The sequence below is a fragment of the Homo sapiens genome, chromosome 6, assembly GCF_000001405.40.
Source record: "Homo sapiens chromosome 6, GRCh38.p14 Primary Assembly".
Lineage (NCBI taxonomy): Eukaryota > Metazoa > Chordata > Mammalia > Primates > Hominidae > Homo > Homo sapiens.
This window is the reverse complement of record NC_000006.12, coordinates 85,908,743-85,930,992: the sequence shown is the minus strand read 5'-3', so window position 1 is coordinate 85,930,992 and position 22,250 is coordinate 85,908,743. Positions and strand designations below refer to the sequence as shown.

Sequence of the window (22,250 nt, the reverse complement as noted above, 5' to 3'; positions counted from 1 at the left end):
ATTTGACCCAGCCATCCCATTACTGGGTATATACCCAAAGGTTTATAAATCATGGTGCTATAAAGACACATGCACACATATGTTTATTGTGGCACTATTCAGAATTGCAAAGACTTAGAACCAACCCAAATGTCCAACAATGATAGACTGGATTAAGAAAATGTGGCACATATACACCATGGAATACTATGCAGCCATAGAAAAAGGATGAGTTCCTGTCCTTTGTATGAATACATTTATATTCTGAATATAAAATCTAATAAATTTGCTTATTTAATTACTTTCAAGCACCTATGCTACTTGACTATGAATCCCTGGGGTATTTTTGCATGATCAAGCTCAAGCTCCATTGATAAGAGCATGGTATTGAGCCACCGTTGATAATCCTAGATCATTCAATTAACCTAACCTAAAAGCAGAAAGGGAACAGAGCCTGTTACAGATTGTATTAGTTATCTATTGCTGAGTAACATTACCACAAATTTAGCAGCTTAAAATAACATATATGAGTCTGGGACCCAATGGCTTCACTGCTGAATTTTAGCAAGGAATGAAGAAGAACTAATACCAGTCCTATTCAAACTATCCCAAAAAATAGAGGGGAAGGGAATACTTCCAAACTCATTCTACAAGGCAAGTATTATCCTGATAATAAAAGCAGACAAAGACACATTTAAAAATAAAACTACAGGCCAGTATCCCTGATGAGTACTGATGCAAAAAATCCTCAACAAATACTAGCAAACTGAATTCAACAACATATTAAAAAGATCATTCATTGTGACCAAGTGGGATTTATCCCAGGGATGCAAGGGATAAATGTAACACATTGAACCATCCTTGGTTCAACATATGCAAATCAATCAGTGTGACACATCATATCAACAGAATGAAGGACAAAAAACGTAAGATCATTGCAACTGATGTTGAAAAGGATTTGACAAAATTTAACATCGCTTTATGATTTAAAAAGAAAACTCTAAAAACTAGAGTTAGATGGAACATACCTCAACATAAGAAAACCCATATACAGCAGACTCATAGTCAGTATCATACTGAATGGGGAAAAACTGAAAGATTGGGAACACAATAAGAATGCCCACTTTTGCCACTGTTATTCAACATAGTACTGGAAGTCCTACCTAGAGCAATCATACAAGAGAAAGAAATAAAGCACATCCAAACTGGGAAGGATGAAGTCAAATTATCCTTGTTTGCAAGTAATATGATTTTATATTTAGAAAAACCTAAAGACTCCACCAAAAAAACTATTAGAACTGATAAACAAATTCCGAAAAGTTGCAGGATTCAAAATCAACATACAAAAATCAGTGGCATTTCTATATGCCAATGGCAAACAATCTGAAATAGAAATCAAGAAAGTAATTGCATTTACAATATCTATAAATAAAATTAAATACCTAGGAATAAACTTAACCAAAGAAGTGAAAGATCCCTATAATGAAAACTACAAAACATTGATGCAAGAAATTAAAGAAGACACCAAAAAAAAAAAAAGGAAAGATATTCCATGTTCATGGATTGGAAGACTCAATATTGTTAAAATATCCATACTATCCAAAGAAATCTACAGATTCAATGCAATTCCTATCAAAATACCAATGACATTGTTCACAGAAATAGAAAAAAGCAATCCCAAAATGTGTATGGAACCACAATAGACCCAGAACAGACAAAGCTATCCTGAGCAAAAAGAACAAAACCGAAGGAATCACATTACCTGACTTCAAATTACACTACGGAGCTATAGTAACCAAAACAGCAAGATACTGGCATAAAAACAGACATGTAGACCAGTGGAACAGAATAGAGAACTCAGAAACAAATCCATACACCTACAGTGAATTTATTTTCAACAAAGATACCAATAACATACATTGGGAAAAGGACAGTCTCTTCAAAAAATGGTGCTGGGAAAATTGGGTATCCATATGCAGAAGAACGAAACCATATATGAAAAGCAAATCAAAACGGATTAAGAACTTAAATATAAGACCTCAAACTATGAATGTGATCAAAGAAAACTTTGGGAAAACTTCCCAGGACATTGGAACGGGTAAAGATTTCTTGAGTAATGTACCATAAGCACAGGCAACCAAAGCAAAAATGGACAAATGGGATCACATCAAGTTAAAAAGCTTCTGCATAGCAAAGGAAACAATCAATAAAGTGAAGAGACAACCCATAAAATGGGAGAAAATATTTGCAAACTAGTCAGCTGACAAGGGATTAATAACTAGAATACATAAGGAGTTCAAACAACTCTATAGGAAAAAAATCTAATAATCTGATCAAAAATGGGCAAAAGATTTGAATAGACATTCCTCGAAAGAAGATATATAAATGGCAAACAGGCATATGCAAAGATCAACATCATTGATCTTCAGAGAAATGCAAATCAAAACCGCAATGAGATATCATCTCACCCAAGTTAAAATGGCTTTTATCCAAAAGACAGGCAACAACAAATGCTGACAAGAATGTGGAGAAATGAGAATCTTCCTAAATTCTTGTGGGGAATGTCAATTAGTCAAAGAACAGTTTGGAAGTTCCTCAAAATCAATAAATAGAGCTATTATATGATCCAGCAATCCCACTGCTGGGTACATATCCAAAGGAAAGGAAATCAGTATATCAAAGAGATATCTGCACTCCCATGTTAACTACAGCACTATTCACAATAGCCTATATTTGGAAGCAACCTAAGTGTCCATCAATAGATGAATTGAAAAAGAAAATATGGTACATATACACAATAAAGTACTATTCAGCCATAGAAAAGAATGAGATTCTGTCATTTACAACAGCATAGATGAAACTGGAGGTCATTATGTTCAGTGAAATAAGCCAGGCACAGAAAGACAAACTTTACAGGTTCTCATTTATTTGCAGGAGCTAAAACAATAACCATAATTCAACTCATGGAGATAAAGAGTAGAACTATGTTTACCAGAGGCTAGGAAGGGGAGTGGGAGTAGGAGAGTGGGGATGGTTAATGGGTACAAAAATAGAGTTCAATAGAATAAATAAGATCTAATATTTGCTAGTACAACAGGGTGACTAAAGTCAGTAATAACTTATTGTACATTTTTAAATAACGAAAAGAATATAATTGGAATGTTTGTAACACACACACACCCACACAATAAAAGCTTGAGCCATATGTAGAAAGCTGAAACTGGATCCCTTCCTTACACCTTATACAAAAATTAATTCAAGATGGATTAAAGACTTAAATGTTAGACCTAAAACCATAAAAACCCTAGAAGAAAATCTAGGCAATACCATTCAGGACATAGGCATGGGCAAGGACTTCATGTCTAAAACACCAAAAGCAATGGCAACAAAAGCCAAAATTGACAATTGGGATCTCATTAAACTAAAGAGCTTCTGCACAGCAAAAGAAACTACCATCAGAGTGAACAGGCAACCTACAGAATGGGAGAAAATTTTTGCAACCTACTCATCTAACAAAGGGCTAATATCCAGAATCTACAATGAACTCAAACAAATTTACAAGAAAAAATCAAACAACCCCATCAAAAAGTGGGTGAAGGATATGAACAGACACTTCTCAAAAGAAGACATTTATGCAGCCAAAAGACACATGAAAAAATGCTGGCCATCAGAGAAATGCAAAATCAAAACCACAATGAGATACCATCTTACACCAGTTAGAATGGTGATCATTAAAAAGTCAGGAAACAACAGGTGCTGGAGAGGATGTGGAGAAATAGGAACACTTTTACACTTTTACACTGCTGGTGGGACTGTAAACTAGTTCAACCATTGTGGAAGTCAGTGTGGCGATTCCTCAGGGATCTAGAACTAGAAATACCATTTGACCCAGCCATCCCATTACTGGGCATATACCCAAAGGATTACAAAACATGCTGCTACAAAGACACATGCACACGTATGTTTATTGCAGCACTATTCACAATAGCAAAGACTTGGAACCAACCCAAATGTCCAACAATGATAGACTAGATTAAGAAAATGTGGCACATATACACCATGGAATATTATGCAGCCATAAAAAATGATGAGTTCCTGTCCTTTGTAAGGACATGGATGAAGCTGGAAACCATCGTTCTCAGCAAACTATCGCAAGGACAAAAAACCAAACACCGCATGTTCTCACTCGTAGGTGGGAATTGAACAATGAGAACACATGGGCACAGGAAGGGGAACATCACACACTGGGACCTGTTGTGGGGTGGGGGGAGGGGGGGAGGGATAACATTAGGCGATATACCTAATGTTAAATGAAGGGTTAATGGGTGCAGCACACCAACATGGCACATGTATACATATGTAACTAACCTGCACGTTGTGCACATGTACCCTAAAACTTAAAGTATAAAAAAAAAGAAAAGAAAAAAAAAAGCTTGAGCTGACAGATATCCCATTTACCTTGTGTGATTATGACACATTGTATGCCTGTATCAAAATATCTCATGTATCCCATAAATCTATACACCTACTATGTATCCATAAAATTAAAATAAAATATAACACACATGTATTATCTTACAATTTCAGTCCAAGCATCTAAAGGAGAGGGTCACTATGAATCCAAATTGTTTTAAGCATATGAATAGGTGTCAACAAACATGAATTGAACACTTAATATTTGCAATGTCCCACATCATACATTGTAGAAAACTAAAATAAATAAACCATAGTCCATGCTGTCAAAGAGCTGACACTCTAGCAGAAGAGAAACAGGGACATAGTTACAAATCACTATAATAATGTAGAATGCAATAAACATCGCTGAAAAAAATTATAGATGACACAAACAAATGGAAACACATCCCATGCTTGTGGATAAGTCAAATCAGTATTGTGAAAATGACCATACTGCCAAAAGCAATCTACAAATTCAATGCAATTCCCATCAAAATACCACTATCATTCTTCACAGAACTAGAAAAAAGCAATTCTAAAATTCATGTGGAACCAAAAAAGAGCCTGCATAGCCAAAGCAAGACTAAGCAAAAAGAACAAATCTGGAGGCATTACATTGCCCGACTTCAAACTATACAATAAGGCCATAGTCACCAAAACAGCATGGTACTGGTATAAAAATAGACACACAGACCAGTGGAAGAGAATAGAGAACCCAGAAATAAACCCACATACTTACAGCCAACTGATCTTTGACAAAGCAAACAAAAAAATAAAGTGGAAAAAAGGCACCCTATTCGACAAATGGTGCTGTGATAATTGGCAAGCCACATGTAGAAGAATGTAACTGGATCCTCATCTCCCATCTTACACAAAAATCAATTCAAGATAAATCAAGGACTTAAATCTAAGACCTGAAACTATAAAAATTCAAGAATGTAACATCAGGAAAACCCTTATAGACATTGGCTTAGGCAAAAATTTCATGACCAAGAACCCAAAAGCAAATGCAACAAAAAACAAAGCTAAATAGGTGGGACTTAATTAAACTAAAGAATGTTTGCACAGCAAAAGAAATGGTCAGCAGAGTAAACAGACAACCCACAGAATGAGAGAAAATCTTCACAATCTATACATCCGTCAAAAGACTAATATCCGGAATCTACAAGGGACTCAAACCAATTAGCAAGAAAAAAGTAAACAACCCCATCAAAAAGTGGGCTAAATACATGAATCGACAACTCTCAACAAAAGATATACGAAAGACCAACAAGCATATGAAAAAATGCTCAATATCACTAATGATCAGGGAAATGCAAAACCACAACGCACTACCACCTTACTCCTACAAGAATGGCCATAATCAAAAAATCAAAAAATAATCGATGTTGGCATGGATGTGATGAAAAGGGAACACTTCTACACTGTTGGTGGGAATGTAAACTAGTACAACCACTATGGAAGACAGTGTGGAGATTCCTTAAAGAACTAAAAGTAGAACTACCATTTGATCTAGCAATCTCACTACTAGGTATCTCCCCAGAGGAAAAGAAGACATTATACGAAAAAGATACTTGCATATGCATATTTATAGCCACAAAATCTGCAATTGCAAAAATGTGGTACCAGCCCAAATGCCCATCAATCAACGAGTGAATAAAGAAAATGTGGCATGTATGTATACCATGGAATACTACTCAGCCATAAAAAGGAATGAAATAATGGCATTTGCAGCGACCTGGATGGAATTGGAGACCATTATTCTAAGTGAAGTAACTCAAGAATGGGAAACCAAACATTGTATGATCTCACTCATAAGTGGGAGCTAAGTTATGAGGATGCAAAGGCATAAGAATGATACAATGGACTTTGGGGACTATGCGGGAAAGGGTTGTGGGAGGGAGGAGGGATAAAATACTGCACATTGGCTACAGTGTACACTGCTTGGGTAATGGGTACACCGAAATCTCAGAATCACCATCAAATAATTTATTCGTGTAACGAAGCACCAACTGTTCCCCAAAAACCTATTGAAATAAAATAATAAAAAATATTTAAAATTAAAAATTAAAAAATAAAAGTTATAATAGAAAAATAAAAAAGAAAAGTGGTTGGAGCATAGAGGATGGTAAAGTTATAAAATAGTAGAGTTGTAAGTAGGTAATCATTCCCAAAGAATAGACTGCAGAACGGTCATGAGGAATGTGAAAAGACAAAGAACAAATCTGAGAGCAAGCAGGCCAAGGACAGCACACCAGCTTTCATCTAATCTGGGTTATCAGCCCTTGCTGTCTCAAAGAAGAGCTGTGAAAACACAACATATTGAAGAGGACACAGAGCAACCAGGATCTCAGACATTCATGATAGGAGAATATAACGATGCAACCACTTTGAAAAACTGGAAGTTCCGTAAAAAAATGAAACATACATCACCCCCCACATCCCAGAAGTTCTACTCCTAGGTATTTGTTTAAGGGAAATGAAATCTTATGACAGCAAAAAGATTCCACAAGAAGTTTCATGGCAACTTTACATATAATAGCCAAAAACTAGAAACAACCCTGATGTCCATCAACAGGTGAATGGATCAGCAAAATGTGATACAGTTATACAATGAAATACTAGTTGGTAATATAAAGGAAAAATAGATTATAAATAGATAATTAGATAGATAGATAATAGAGACATAGATATGCATGCAACAGGGATGAATCTCAACATTGTACTGAGTGAAAGGGAAGAGTTCACTTAAGATCTGAGCATTTCATTGCATGTAAGTTGTATCTTATATCTATCAGATTCCGATCAGGAGACAGAACCACACAGTAATTTGAACAGGGGAAGTTTAATATAAAAAATTATTAACTATAAACGGGAATTACCTACTAATAGATAAAGACAAGCTTAAAGGATAAATACATAGAAAACATACATAGCAATCAATACCTCTAGCACTGAAGCACAGCACCTAGGCATGCATCAAATACAGAAGAGGCCTCCAGAGCTGAAATCCAAACTTTCACTGGGAAGGACACCATCCACCTGTGTGGAAGTTCATGCAGATGCCATGCTGGTAGAACTTACTGAGAAGCTGCCTTCTGGGATGCTGAAGGAAGCCCTCAACAAGGTGTTGTACCTCAGAACTCACTGCAAAGCCTCCCACAGAGATGGTGAGCTGGGAAACTACTTCCTTGGTTGCTAGGTGAAGCTGCCCACAGAAAGATGCCATGCTGCAGAGCTCACTGAGAAACTACCCATAGGGGTGGCCCAATAGGAAGCAATCCCCTGGGGTGCTAGGGAATGCTGCCCATGGGGAAGTAAGTATCAGCCAATTGTCCTATATGCTCCTGACTCATGCACTGCAATAGCAATCGCGCAGAGCACACTAGGAACCAGAAGAAAAGCCCTTTCATCCTCCAGCATACATCCAGTGCCCTCTAGTGACAAAATTTAACATTGTGCCAGCTGATAATGAAAACATGCTTCAGAATCACAAGCAGGGCAATGAAGGATAGATCTAAAACTGAGAGGCAACAAATAGATAACTAACACATGCCTCAAGGAGATGAAGAAGGGGGCGGGAGGAGAAGAGGAGGAAGAGGAGAAGGAGGAAGAAGAGAAGGTCATCTGTGGGATTTGAGGTATGATGGAAGATCAGAGACTTAAACAGAATAGATATAACTGGCTAAACATGAACAATAAATGATAGCTGGTGAACCTTGAGTATTTGCAAAGAGTGTACTAGGCACAGTATTTTGTTTAGTAAAATATTTCTAGAAGTTAGTTATTGTTATTCTCATTTTGGTGAAGAAACTGGGACTCAAAGGGGATGGACAACTTACCCTAAGGTCACACAACCAAATGGTAATAGACCCAAAATTTTCACCCAGAACTCTGACTCCAAAGCCTCACTACATTGCATCTCCTCGATGATATATAATCATTCCAATGCCAAAACGGAAAGTCAAGATTCTGGTCCCCCCAGTAATTGCTTTTATACTTATCCCTAAGTCTGTCATTGAATACAAGAAGCTACAGGACTGGTTTCAAGTGGTGCTACATTTTTATAATCTTAGTGCAGAAATGGAAAGAGCAACTTGCCCATTCACCCAAGACTAACAACTGGCATGAAGTGAATTGCTTCTGTAGACAGTAAACAAGAGTAAGCTGGTATTTTTTTCTAAGTCAACTTTAGGACAGCTTTTCAAACAAACACACATTGCCTTTATTCCCAGGACAAAAACCAGAAACTCTAATAGTCCCTGGCTGTTATAATTTGATGCTTAATGTACTTCTATCTATGTAAGCCGTATCACATACCTTTCTAATAAGGCAAGGAAGAGTGAATAACATCAATTATATCACGATTGTTTCTCTTATAAAGTTAATTAATATTAATAATGGTTATTTATATTGGAGTTACCATTATCATCACCTTATATCATTCAATATTTATTCTGAAAGTCAAAGAATTATAATGTGGGTGGAAGGGTACTTGGAATTGTCTTGTTTAATCACCAGTGACCTATGAGTGCATGGCGAACTGTTAAAAAAATAAGCTAATGCTCTCTACTCAATTATTATGCCATAACTGAATCATAATATTTATTCACTTTCTCCCTGAATGACTTTATCCAATTTCTAGACTTCACATATCTATGCTGAAAATTTCCAGATTTGTATTTTCAGCACTGAACTCTCTCATGATCCAGATTTCTTATATCTTATTGACTACACAGATCTCAAATATGCTTCTCAGATTTAACAATTCCAAAACAGAACTTTCTGTCTGTTTTCCTCCAGTCTTTTAGAGCTAATGAATGGCATTATTATCCACCTACTTGCTCAAGCTGAAAACCTAGAGGTCATTCTTGATTCTTTTCTTTACCTTATCACCCAAATCCAATTCATCAGCTAGTCATACTATCCCTACCTCAAATAATGTATTAATATATCCATTTCTTTCTAGCTACACTACCATCTTCCTAGTCCAATTTACTACCATTTCTCATTTAGACTATTGATATAGAACTGCTCAACTTGCTTATACCTATGACTGTCCTCAATTCATTCACATTACTGCATGCTGCCAAAAACTATCCAAAAGATTCTTAATGCATTAAGAATAAAATCCACACTCTTTATCATGGCCTATTAGTTCAAACCCTAATTGCCTCCCTGTATCAGGATTCAATCAGAAAAGAGATCCACTATAAGTGATATAGAATAAAGTTTATCATAAGGGTTTGATATTGAGCCCCTAGCAATTGTGAGAGCTAGTAACGATTCTATATAAGGATGTTGCTTCTATATCTGATGCTGGACTGGAAAGAAGGATGAATGGGAAATGTGAAGTGGGGAGAGCAAGAATGAACTGAAACCTGAAAGGATGAGCTGAAGCTCATGAATATGAACTAAAACTTGGATCTATCTTTTGCTACATTCAGGCCTCAATTTCAACATTGTGGGTGACTTGCAGAGGAAGCTAACACTCTTTGTCATAGATTTAGGCCACATACCTGGCATAGGATTAGGAGGAGCTAAATAAGGTGTTTCATCAGCAGTTGAAGTAGCTGTAGGCTTGGCTGCCGTCCCATGCCACTAATGTGAGCCAACAGAGCAGAGACAATGTGTGTGAACTGGAGCAGAGACAATGTGTGTGAACTGCAGCAGAACCTGACTGAACACAAAACATCTGAACACAAATGCAACTGATGCTTTACTTATGCCTCCCAAATCTCATGCAAATTTTTCTTGTCACCAACCCTAAACAGAACTATATGGGAAAGGGAATTCTTGTAAATGTAGTTCCAGCTTAGCTAGGTTAACAAAGTATAAAGCCACCACTAACCACTCTTATCAATGTGGCCCAACCATACTTCTTTTAACCATACCTAATTTCCAAATAAAAATAAATTATGCTTCTGCCTCATATAATGCAACTATCCTTTGTAAAACTGAAAATATGTTAAACTTCTCAAGGGTCTATAAAATTTCTTTGTATATTTTGGGGTAGTATTTATTCTTCTCGTAGCTGAGTCACACTCTCCCTTTGATATTCTGTAATTTAAACACTGAGCTATAAGAAGTGGTTCACTGATAAATGTTTAGCAACCAGTTCTCCAAAGGGGAAAAAGCCCTTACATAGATTTTGCTAGTTTCTATGGTATTAATACTCCCACCATGGCCAGTTTTATCCCAGCAAATGTGATATCACTGAACACAGAGTTAAGAAGAGGTAGGCGGTTGCACATCAATATGTAGTAGTTCCATTATACAGATACAGTATACATAAATAACTTCCAGAGTACAGATAATACTAACTATCATACAATAATTTAAAATTATGAGACTTTGGGAGCTGGAAAGTCTATCTATAGGGCAAGATTACAGGTTGGAAATTTAGGTAAGAGTTGGCGTTGCAGTCTTGAATCTTAAATCTGCAGGGCAGACCAGCAGGTGGGAAACTGGCAGTGTTTTTACATTACAGAATTGAGACAGAATTCCTTATTTTCCAAGAAACCTCAATTCTTGTTCTTAAGGACTTCAACTGATTGTATGGAATGCACCCATTTCATGAAAGGTAATCTTCTGTACTTGAAATCAACTGATTGCAAATGTTTGCCATGTTTATAAAATAGCTTCACAGCAACATCTTTACTAGTGGTTGACAAAATAACTGGGCAGTAGCCTAGCCAAGATGACAGATAAAATTTACCTTCACACCATCTGAATGCAATTGCTCTTAATTGTCTTTACTAACAAATATAGGGAAAAAGGCATCCATCAGTTCAATTGCTATGTGCCATGTGTCAGGTGATATGTGTTGATTTGCTCCTGTTGAGAGACAATTCTCTAGGGATCGCTCACATTTCTACACATTATGTATTACGTTTTGTTATGCACTATCTTTTCAAGAATGTTTGCTTAAAAACATCAAAAGCAATTGCAACAAAAGCAAAAACTGGCAAACGATACCTGAATAAACTAAAGAGCTTCTGCACAGCTAAAGAAACTATATCAGAGTGAACAGATAACCTATGGAATGGGAGAAAAATTTTGCAATCTATCCATCTGACAAAGGTCTAATATCCAGAATCTACAAGGAACTTAAGCAAATTTGCAAGAAAAAAGCAAGCAACCCCATCAAAAAGTGGGCAAAGGACATGGACAGGTACTTCTCAAAAGAAGACATACATGTGGCCAACAAACACACAAATAAAAGCTCAACATCATTGACCATTAGAGAAATGCAAATCAAAACCACAATGAGATACCATTTAACATCAGTCAGAATAGTGATTAAAAAGTCAAGAAACGACAGATGCTGGTGAGGCTGTGGAGAAACAGGAACACTTTTACACTGTCAGTGGGAGTGTAAGTTAGTTCAACCACTGTTGAAGACAGTGTGGCAATTCCTCTAGGATCTAGAACCAGAAATACCATTTGACCCAGCAATCCCATTACTGGGTATATATGCAAAGGAATATAAATCATTCTATTATAAAGATACATGCACACATATTTGCTATGTACAATAGCAAAGACATGGAATCAACCTAAATGCCCATCAATGATAGACTGGATAAAGAAAATGTGGCACGTATACACCATGGAATACTATGCAGCCATAAAAAGAAATGAGATTATGTCCTTTGTAGAGACACGGATGGAGCTGGAAGCCATTATCCTCAGAAAACTAACTCAGGAACAGAAAACCAAACACTGCGTGTTCTCATTTATAAATGGGAGCTGAACAATGAGAACACATGGATACAGGGAGGGGAATGACACAAACCACGGCCTGTCAGGGGGTGGGGTAGGGGGAGGGAGAGCATCAGAATAAATAGCTAATGCATGCTGGGCTTAATACCTAGGTGATGGGTTGATAGGTGCAGCAAACCACTATGGCACATGTTTATCTGTGTAACAAACCTGCACGTCCTGCACAAGTATCCTGTAACTTAAAATAAAATAAATAAAAATTTTTTAAAAAAAGTTTGCTTAGCAAAACACCTTGGAAGATAGAAATAGTGTCTCCCTCTGAGAAAGAGCACAGATTTGTTTGTTGTATAAGATAGTAAAGAAAATGTCTTCTTCCAGAGAAAACATTGGACAGGTTTACCAGCAATACTTTTAAAAGGTCAAGGTTCCCTAAGCTTAGGGATCCTCAGCTCTAACATAAATCCACTGAATGTTCAGATTTCACCCAGGGTCCTCCACATTGCTTTATGAGACTTTTGAAGCAAGGAGAACCAATGCAAACATGAAACTCATGCTGTTTGCTGTGATGTGAATCATACAAAGGCTACAGTCTCTGATGAAGGAGTCTCATATCATCTGCCAGCATGTATAAAACTATAGTATGCTAACTTATTACCTTGCAAATATAGTAAAACCTCAGACACTTCACAATTCTTGATAGCTCCAGCCGTGAAATCATATTTGGAATAGCAGTTGTAATTGGTTACATTTACGATAATTTGGCATTATTCTCCAAGACCCATTATCTTCTGTACAGGACCAAATAGCAGTTTGAAGGAGGATGCTGTAGGAATGACTGTCCTGCATTCTTAAGCCCTTGATTATTGTGATAATGTCTATACCTTTTACAGAAACAGTGGCTTACTATTGGTAGGTAGAGACAGTTCTAATGGCTTCTACTTGGCCTTTCCCACCATAATAGCCTTAATTCCATGGAGTAGGGAATCAATGTAGAGATTCTTCCAGGCGCCAAGTATCTCTGACCTAACTCTGCATTCTGGAACTGAAGAAATAAACCACACAGTGGTTTCTGAGACCCACCTGACTCACTATGAGAAAAACCTGAGCTAAAACTGGTCTTACTCTGACTGGTGGACCCAGTAGTATTTTGGGTCTATAGAAATTAGTATCAGCAGTGAGTATCCAGTAATATCCAGAAAGTTTCATTAGTCCCCTTTCCCCAATGCACAGTCAACTTGGAAAATGGCTGCAGGTCCACTTGGGGAAGAGTAGGAGGAAGATTTTCAGTACAAATTTTTGGCATGAAGCAGGGTCTTTTCTCAAGGTAAATGGCCTCTCTTCCATTTACAGAACTGTAGGTCATGAGCTGGCTCAAATCTGGGAATTGATTGGGAACTGCAACTCTGTATTGTGATGATTCAAGTCAGACTTCTATCCACCAGACCTAGAGCTTCTCAGCATCAATAAATCCAGAAAGACTTTAAAGGCTCCCTATCTATTTCAGTTTTAGGTAATTCATGATCAATCAGTCAATGCCAAAAAATCTCTGTGGGTTAAACTGTTTTGATTATTACTTCCTTTTGTTGCCCATTATGATAACCACCCCCACCTTAATTCTGGAGATTCAATGACTCATCCTGGTCCCTGCCACTCCTTTCCATCATAGCCATGAATAAGGAAGCCAAGTTGATTGGCAGGTCCACTATTCCTGGCCTACAAAGAATAAGCACCGCAGAAGTCTTCAATGATGCTGAAGCTCCCCTCACAAGTTTATCTTCCACCACCTTGGTGAAAGAATTGTCCTCTGGACCCTCTCAAAGCACATGTTTAAGAGGTAGGTGAGGCTGGGCGCGGTAGCTCACGCCTGTAATCCCAGCACTTTGAGAGGCCGAGGCAGGTGGATCACGAGGTCAGGAGATCGAGACCATCCTGGCTAACATGGTGAAACCCCGTCTCTACTAAAAAATACAAAAAATTAGCCAGGTGTGGTGGCGGGTGCCTGTATTCCCAGCTACTCGGGAGGCTGAGGCAGGAGAATGGCGTGAACCAGGGAGGCGGAACTTGCAGTGAGCTGAGATCGTGCCACTGCACTCCAGCCTGGGTGACAGAGCAAGACTCCATCTCAAAAAAAAAAAAAAAAAAAAAAAAGAGGTAGGTGAGCAGAGCTTACAGGATAAATCCACTCAGCATTCCAAATCTTCTGAGTCTTTGGATACCCTCTTCCGCAGCATATCAGGAAAGTTTTAGTTTTTCACCTTCATTTAGTATATATTGCCTTTGGATTCAGGTTTTGGTCACAATCAAGCCAAATAAGAGCCACTCCCAAATGCTCAAGCTGATATATTGAACCCAGAATCTGAACTAGTGAACCCATATTAATAAATTCAGCCCAGGCCAGCATTATATTTGTTCTACCCCGATTCAACACCTTCAAGATCTACTCCCACATGTTTCCCAGATTTCTGTTTATACAAATTGGCAAAATACTGCAAATATTTTAGTATATATCACACTTCCATTTGGGTAACACTTTTTACCTTGCTCTCTGGAGCCTGCAACTTCAGTTTAGTAATAGGTCTAGAAGCGATGGCAGGTATTTGGGAGAAGCTCCTGATGAGGATAATCAGTCCCTTGTAAATACATCAGTAGAGGCAGGAGAGAATCTAATATTCTCAGGTAGGAGAAGAAGGGTTGCTCCTACTGGCAAGAAAAATGCAGCATAATTTAGAAGTTGGAGATCTTCAGTTTCATCAAAATGTACTCATATTTCCTTATCCTAATTTTCAGGGTACCACTCCTTTCCAATCAATGTCCTAACATTAATACAAAAGACCTAGAGAAATTAGAAACCCAGATTATCCTGTCAATCAGCCCCTCCTGAGCTCAGACTTTAGGTTTTCTTTTCAGAAATCAGTCCTGCAGCTATAGGAGATAAGTGTGTTTTTAGAACAGTTATAGAAGTTTCCAGGAATTTGAAGCCCTGAGCTCATCATTTTCTTTCTACTTGTAGAATCAACTACCCAAACCCATTACACTCCTTGTTTTCATTTAAATGTTCTATGGCAGGGAATGGTGAGTCACCTAAGGACTTGCCTTCTATAGGCATTAAATTACAGGTGTCTACAGATGGTGATGTAAGTTAAGTGTTTTACCTCTGCATGTTATGAACTAATAGTGTGTCCTTTACCACTGGAAACAGGATTATTATGCCTCTAAATCTAATCTGAAGAGAGAACTGATTTCAGAGAATCCAGAACCAACTCAGAGAACCTAGAACTCACTCAGAGAATGCTTCCTTAAGCTTCCATTCCTCTAGAACTACTTCCTGTACTAAATTCTGTGTCAGTTTAGGTTTGATCAAGACTTACTATAGGAGTTTGACCTTAGGCAATTATAGAAGGTAAACAGTCTATATAAGGTTGTTGCCTCTACATCTGGTGCCCAGCTAGAGTTAGCAAAACAGGTAATCTGGAAGAAAAGACAACTGGAGGAGAGCAGGAACTAACAGGAACCCCAAAGAACAAGCTGGACCCCAAAGAACAAGCTGAATACCAACAGATTAACTGGTACATGCATCTCTCTCCCACCACCTCTAAGCTTTCAGCTTGGATTATATGAGTGACCTGCAGGAAAATCTAGTGCCCTTCACCACATACACATACACATGAACACGTACACAAACGCACACACAGCACAGTATTCAGAGAGGCTTAGGAAAGATTCTGGCAGGAGCTAAAGGAGCTGCAAGCTGTCCCACACCACCCAGTTGAGCCAGCAGAGCAGCTGACCTAATGTGTCTCTTTTCTATCCTTCAGTCCATAAATGGTGGCTTCAACTTAGGGCTGATGTTCTCAGGGTTGGAGGATGTTTGTCAGCAGTCAGGGTCCAATGCATCTTAGTTCATGTTCAGCAAGGCTTCCATCAGAGCATTCTAGTAAAAGGGACTGGATTCATTAGCTTAGGTCTTGTGTTCATGCCTGTATCAATGACTGAGGCCAGGAATAAAATCTTCTGATTCATTTAAGCCAGTTGGGGACCTGGATGTGGTGAGAGACCGATGCAGGCACCAGAGCAGGGAGAGAGGGGCTGCATGGGAAAGGGTGCCTGAAAAAAAGATCTGCCTACTATTAGTAAGAAGAGAGGGGAGGAATTGATGCTGGCCAAGCCACTAAAAACGTTCACTTTAGAGAGCAATGAGGAGCAAGAAATACTTTATATAGGGGAAAGAGGTAATATGAAGGTGGAAAAGTGAATGATAAGAAAAAGCTATGTAAGGAGATATCTGGGGAAATACTTCTTCACTTCCAGCAGAAGTAGTACCAAGTACACAGGCTCTGAGGTGGAAATTCCAAGAACAGAAACATGTTGGTGTGATTGGAGTGGTGGGCAATGTCGGAGAGATGGGGCAGTGTGGTAACCTAGTATTATGTCAATTTAGCTAAGCTGGAGCTACATTTCCCAAAATTCCCTTCCTTGTATGGTTTCAGATTAGGGCTGGCCACATGCAACATTTATGTGAGATTTAAAAAGCAGAAATAAAGCAGTAGCCATGTTTACATCCAGAAGACTGGTGTATGATCAGGCACTGTTGCATTTCTTACATACTTGTTGTTGCTCCACTGTCTCAACTTGGTGGTGTTGAACAGCTTGCAGCTCCTTCAGCTTTTGCCAGAATCTTCACTAAGCCTCTGTGAATACTAGGCCCTGGGCTCTAGGCTGTGGGGGCCATGGGGAAGGAGGGTGAAGGGCACTAACTTTTCCTGGAGGTCACTTATATCATCCAAGTTAAAGACCTGGAGGTGGTGAGAGACAGATATAGGCACCAGTTCATTGACTGAGGGTGTCTTTTTTTTAAAATTTTAACAAAAATCATCATAAATGATGCACCCTTATCAGACTATACTGTTTTATTACCTTCAAGGCGAGTGGCACTTCACTATCTGTAATTATCTTGTTTACTTTTTGTCTTATTTTTTTTTTAATGGAGTCTGACTCTATTGCACAGGCTGGAGTGCAGTGGCGCAATCTCGGCTCACTGCAACCTCCGCCTCCCAGGTTCAAGTGATTCTCCTGCCTCAGCCTCCCAAGTAGCTGGGATTGCAGGCACCCACCATCACGCCCGGCTATTTTTTGTATTTTTAGTAGAGACGGGGTTTCACCATGTTGGCCAGGCTGGTCTCGAACTCCTGACCTCAAGTGATCCGCCCACCTCAGCCTCCCAAAGTGCTGGGAGGCTCCTGGCCCTACTTTTTGTCTTGTTTTTAACTTCTGCATCCTCTGCTAGAATGTAAACTCAATGAAAGCAGAGACTTCGAGTCTTTTAATCCAAACTCCCAGAGCAACACCCAACACACATTAAAAATTCAAAAATACCTGAGGAATAAATGCATAAAATGGATCTACATAAGGTCTTCTCTTTCTATAGAAGGTAAAATGCAGAAGAGGTACTATGCTGCCATCAAACATTGACATGTTTTAATTCAATTGGACCAGAAATCCCAAATGTGCCTTTCTTTTGTTCTGATTTCATCATTTTCTTTAGAGCTGAGCTCTACATGAAATAGTTGTGACCATAATATAATTGCTAAATGGCTAGCATGCCTGGCATTGTAAAGCATCATGGGTGTTCGACTGAAAATGTATAGCCAATGATTCAGATTGCTATGTAATGAAACAGCTAACCTTTAAATGTTTCTCAATTCCCTAAGCAGCAGGTGCTGATTTTCCACTTAGGCATCCTAGAAACACAGGCGTTGTTTTTCCATTAAAGAGTCTTTAAAGACCCTCTAAGAATTTCATCAGCTGACTATATTTGTTACAGTTTTGAAAAGGAAGGCAACAACAACAGAGACTACAGCTAATCCTTAGGAAATAAAGAAATAAACCTCCTCATCCACCCTCAGGATTTATTTTCTAATTTTCTTTTTGCTTTTCATCACCTGATTTTACGCAGCTTAGAGAAGTACACAGTAAAAAGGGTCACAGTTTCCAAAACATATGCTTTCTCAGGCAATCTTTATTGTGCCAGGAACTATGGTAACTAGAAGTGCAAACATCGAGAAACATAGTGATCAACTCTGTGGCTCTACTGTAGGACCTCTGTGCAGGAGAATGCTTCTAATCTTTTTTTTTTTTCTCCCATGTTGTGGAGTCCTAAACACTGAGATTTTTATAGCACCCTGAAGCAGTGTGTGACATTTGATAAATATTTTAACAATGATAATCATACTTACCTGAAGAGTCGGCCTTCCCAAGAAGAAGGTAGATTTTAGATACCTGCATTCCAACTAATTTCTTCCTTAAAGTCATATACATATATAGCTTCCTCCTGAAGCCATCTCTCAACAGACGCAAGATACCTCCCAAAAAATCCTAAGTATAACAGGCAGGAGAGGATAAGATAGAATTGAAGATTACTTGAAATGATCAATACCCCAATTCCAGACAATTATACACTAAACCATTGCACACATGTGCATCTCAACACTATTTCCAACACCTCTAAAAATGATCTGATTTTAATATCTCATTTTCCTCCATAACCAGAAAATGTTGTAGATAGCTTATAATTCTGTCTGGGAGGGTAGTTGTTAGAATTAAATTGGGTAAGGTGCGTAGAAAGTGCTTAACTCACTGCCTGTACCAGGATGCGCCTTTAAAAAGACATAATAACTATCTCCCAGGTATAGTAATTAAGAGGATGGTAGTAAACTGTTAATTTGGCCTATCTGCCCCATTGCTTATACATAATTAGTGTGTTTATTACAAGATTGAAATTGTTCAGTATTTTATAGAGAGAGAAAAAGAGCACTAACATGAACTTTTGATATTTTAAGTAAAAACTGTAGTTTTTCCTATTAACCTAAAGCTATGGTAAATAAAATCAGAGCTCAGAAAAGTAGAAAAAAGGAAGGAACAGTGCCTTTGTCCTTCGTCTGCAGTTGATCATTCCCTCTTCTTTTTTATTATACAGAAGGAGATGACCTACCATTGGTGCTTAAAAATTGTACTCTTAAGTAACTGCTGCAGATTCAATGTTTGTGTGTCCCCCCAGAATTTATATGCTGAAGCCTTAACTCCCAGTGGAGTTAAACAATAGAAATTTATTGTCTTTTAGTTCCAGAAGCTAGAAGGTAAAGGTCTGGCAGGGTTGGTTTTTAGTGAGGGTCCTCTTTGTAGCTTGCAGACAGCAGCCTTCTAACTGTGTTTTCACAAGGCAGGTGAATGAGAAACACTTTCTAGTGTCTTTTCCTATACGGAAGCTAATAATTTTGACCTAATTTAACCTTAATTACACTCCTAGAGGCCTCATCTTCAAATATAGCCCTGCCCAGTGAGGAAGATGGATCCAGGTCCCACCTACAGAAGCAGTCTGGCCACAATCTGCCACAGCCACTGTGCTGTGCTGTGCTGTGGGGGAATACTGCCTAGTCCAAACCACCCAGGCTCCCTAGCCCTGGCAGGGAGAAACCACCGACTAGAGCTGCAGTAATGGCGGTCGCTTCTCCCGCCAGAGACTCAGTCATCTTAGGCAGACTCCAGGCTGCTGTACTGGCCAGCCGGGATTCCAAGCCAGTAGGTCTTAGCTGGCGGGGATCCATGGGAGTGAGACCCGCTGAGCAAGGCTGCTTGGCTCCCTGGCCTCAGGCCCCTTTACACAAGAATGGACAGATCTTCTGCCTCTGGAGTTCTGGGAGCCGCCAGATTATGTAAAAACTCCTGCAGCTCAGTGCCTGCCCAAACAGACGCCCAACAGAGCAGCTATGCCATGAGTCTGCCCAGTTTTGTGCTTGGGGCCCAAGGCCCTGGTAGTGTAGGCTCACGAGGGAATCTCTTGACCCACGCGTTGCAAAAATCCATGGGAAAAGCATCGTGCCCCGGGTAGGCAGCACATTCCCTCACCTCCTCCCTTGGCTGGGGAAAGGAAGGTCCCTTTGCAACGTGCAGCTGCCAGGTGAAGCTGTCACCTCATCCTGCTTTCCCTTGCTCCCCGTGGGTTGCACCAACTGCCTAATCAGTTCCAAAGAAAAAACCTGGGTTCCTCAGTTGGCAATGCAGAAATCACTCACCTTTTTGTTCGTCTCAGTGGGAGCTGCAGATAGGCGCTGTTTCTACTCAGCCATCTTGGCCATTCCCCTTTCTTTTCTTCTTATAAAGCCACCAGTTCAATCATGAGGGCCGCAACACGATGACCTTATCTAATTCTAATTATCTTCTAAAGGTCGTACCCCCAAATACCATAAACATACAAGTTAGGAGATTAAGTTTCCAAAACATGAGATCTTATAGACAAATTCAAACCATACCACAGTCCAAGCAGACTAACACAGCAAAAATCACCAGTTCTTTTTTCTTATTTAAAATTTACATTCCGTGCTATATTTGACATAATATATTTGAAAATACCCTGAAAAGAGAACAAGTGCAAAAATGAAAGATGATAGTCACCCTACTTGAAAATGCGAGTTTTTTTAATCTTTTTTTTTTTTTTTTTGGTCTTTTGTCACTTACTATATTTTGGGCATGTTTCTTTTTTTTTTTTTTTCAATATACTTTAAGTCCTACGGTACATGTGCACAACGTGCAGGTTTGTTACATACGTATCCATGTGCCATGTTGGTTTGCTGCACCCATTAACTCGTCATTTACATCAGGTGTCTCTCCTAATGCTATCCCTCCCCCATGCTCCCACCCCAGGACAGGCTCTAGTGTGTGATGTTCCCCGCCTTGTGTCTAAGTGTTCTCATTGTTTAATTCCCACCTATGAGTGAGAACATGCGGTGTTTGGTTTTCTGTTCCTGTCTTAGTTTGCTGAGAATGATGGTTTCCAGCTTCATCCATGTCCCTGCAAAGGACATGAACTCATCCTTTTTTATGGCTGCATGGTATTCCATGGTGTATATGTGCCACATTTTCTTAATCCACTCTATCATTGATGGACATTTGGGTTGGTTCCAAGTCTTTACTGTTGTGAATAGTGCTGCAATAAACATATGTGTGCATGTGTCTTTATTGTAGCATGACTTACAATCCTTTGAGTATATACCCAGTAATGGGATCGCTGGGTCAGATGGTATTTCTAGTCCTAGATTCTTGAGAAATCACCACAGTGTCTTCCACAATGGTTGAACTAGTTTACACTCCCACCAACAGTGTAAAAGCATTCCTATTTCTCCACATCCTCTCCAGCATCTGTTGTTTCCTGACTTTTTAATGATCGCCATTCTAACTGGCATGAGATAGAATCTCACTGTGGTTTTGATTTACATTTCTCTGATGACTGAGAATGATGAGCATTTCTTCATGTGTCTGTTGGCTGCATAAATGTCTTCTTTGGAGAAGTATCTGTTCATATACTTTGCCCACTTTTTGATGGGGTTTTTTCTTGTAAATTTGATTAAGTTCTTTGTAGATTCTGGATATTAGCCCTTTGTCAGATGGGTAGATTGCCAAAATTTTCTCCCATTCTGTAGGTTGCCTGTTCACTCTGATGGTAGTTTATTTTGCTGTGCAGAAGCTGTTTAGCTTAATTAGATCCCATTTGTCTATTTTGGCTTTCACTCATGATTTGGCTCTCTGTTCATTTATTATTATAAAGGTATGTATCTTAAAGTACAGTACTTTATTAGGGAAAAGAAGTTGCTTTTAAAAGATAAGAAACTCGAGTAAGTTCCAAGATGGCCAAATAGTAAGAGCTCTGATCTAGAGCTCCCAGTGTAATCGCCGCAGAAGATGGGTGATTTCTGCATTTCCAACTGATGTCCCTGGTTCATCTCATTGGGCCTGGTTAGATAGTGGGTGCAGCCCATGGAGGGCAAGCTGAAGCAGGGCAGAGCATCACCTCACCTGGGAAGTGCGAGGGGTTGGGGGATTTCCCCTTCCTAGCCAAGGGAAGCCGTGACAGACTGTTCCTGGAAAAATGGGGCACTCCTGCCCAAATACTGTGCTTTTCCAATGATCTTAGCAAATGGCACACCAGGAGATTATATCCCTTGCATGGCTCAGTGGGTCCCAAGCCCACAGAGCCTTGCTTTACTGCTAGCACAACAGTCTGAGATCCACCTGCAAGGCAGCAGCCTGGCAGGGGGAGG

The 22,250-nt window shown here is 39.1% G+C and overlaps 1 long non-coding RNA gene across 1 annotated transcript in view, besides 1 other annotated feature; it reads right to left on the bottom strand.

The window, feature by feature from the left end:
- LOC101928842 (uncharacterized) overlaps positions 1-20,633 on the bottom strand; it is an 88,319-nt gene extending 67,686 nt beyond the window's left edge. Inside the window, exons 1-4 of the long non-coding RNA XR_002956361.1 lie at positions 20,229-20,633; positions 18,393-18,531; positions 15,948-16,952; positions 14,697-14,859 (exon numbers count right to left, since the gene is read on the bottom strand). This is a non-coding gene — a long non-coding RNA (uncharacterized LOC101928842). The remainder of the gene's footprint in view (positions 1-14,696; positions 14,860-15,947; positions 16,953-18,392; positions 18,532-20,228) is intronic.
- Positions 19,871-20,481: an enhancer, noted in NCBI's record as "H3K27ac-H3K4me1 hESC enhancer chr6:86620230-86620840 (GRCh37/hg19 assembly coordinates)". NCBI's record gives its function as "activates a minimal SCP1, AML or CMV promoter by ChIP-STARR-seq in naive H9 embryonic stem cells {active_cell/tissue: H9 hESC(naive)}" and the evidence as "EXISTENCE:reporter gene assay evidence [ECO:0000049][PMID:30033119]".
- Positions 20,634-22,250: the final 1,617 nt, after the last annotated feature.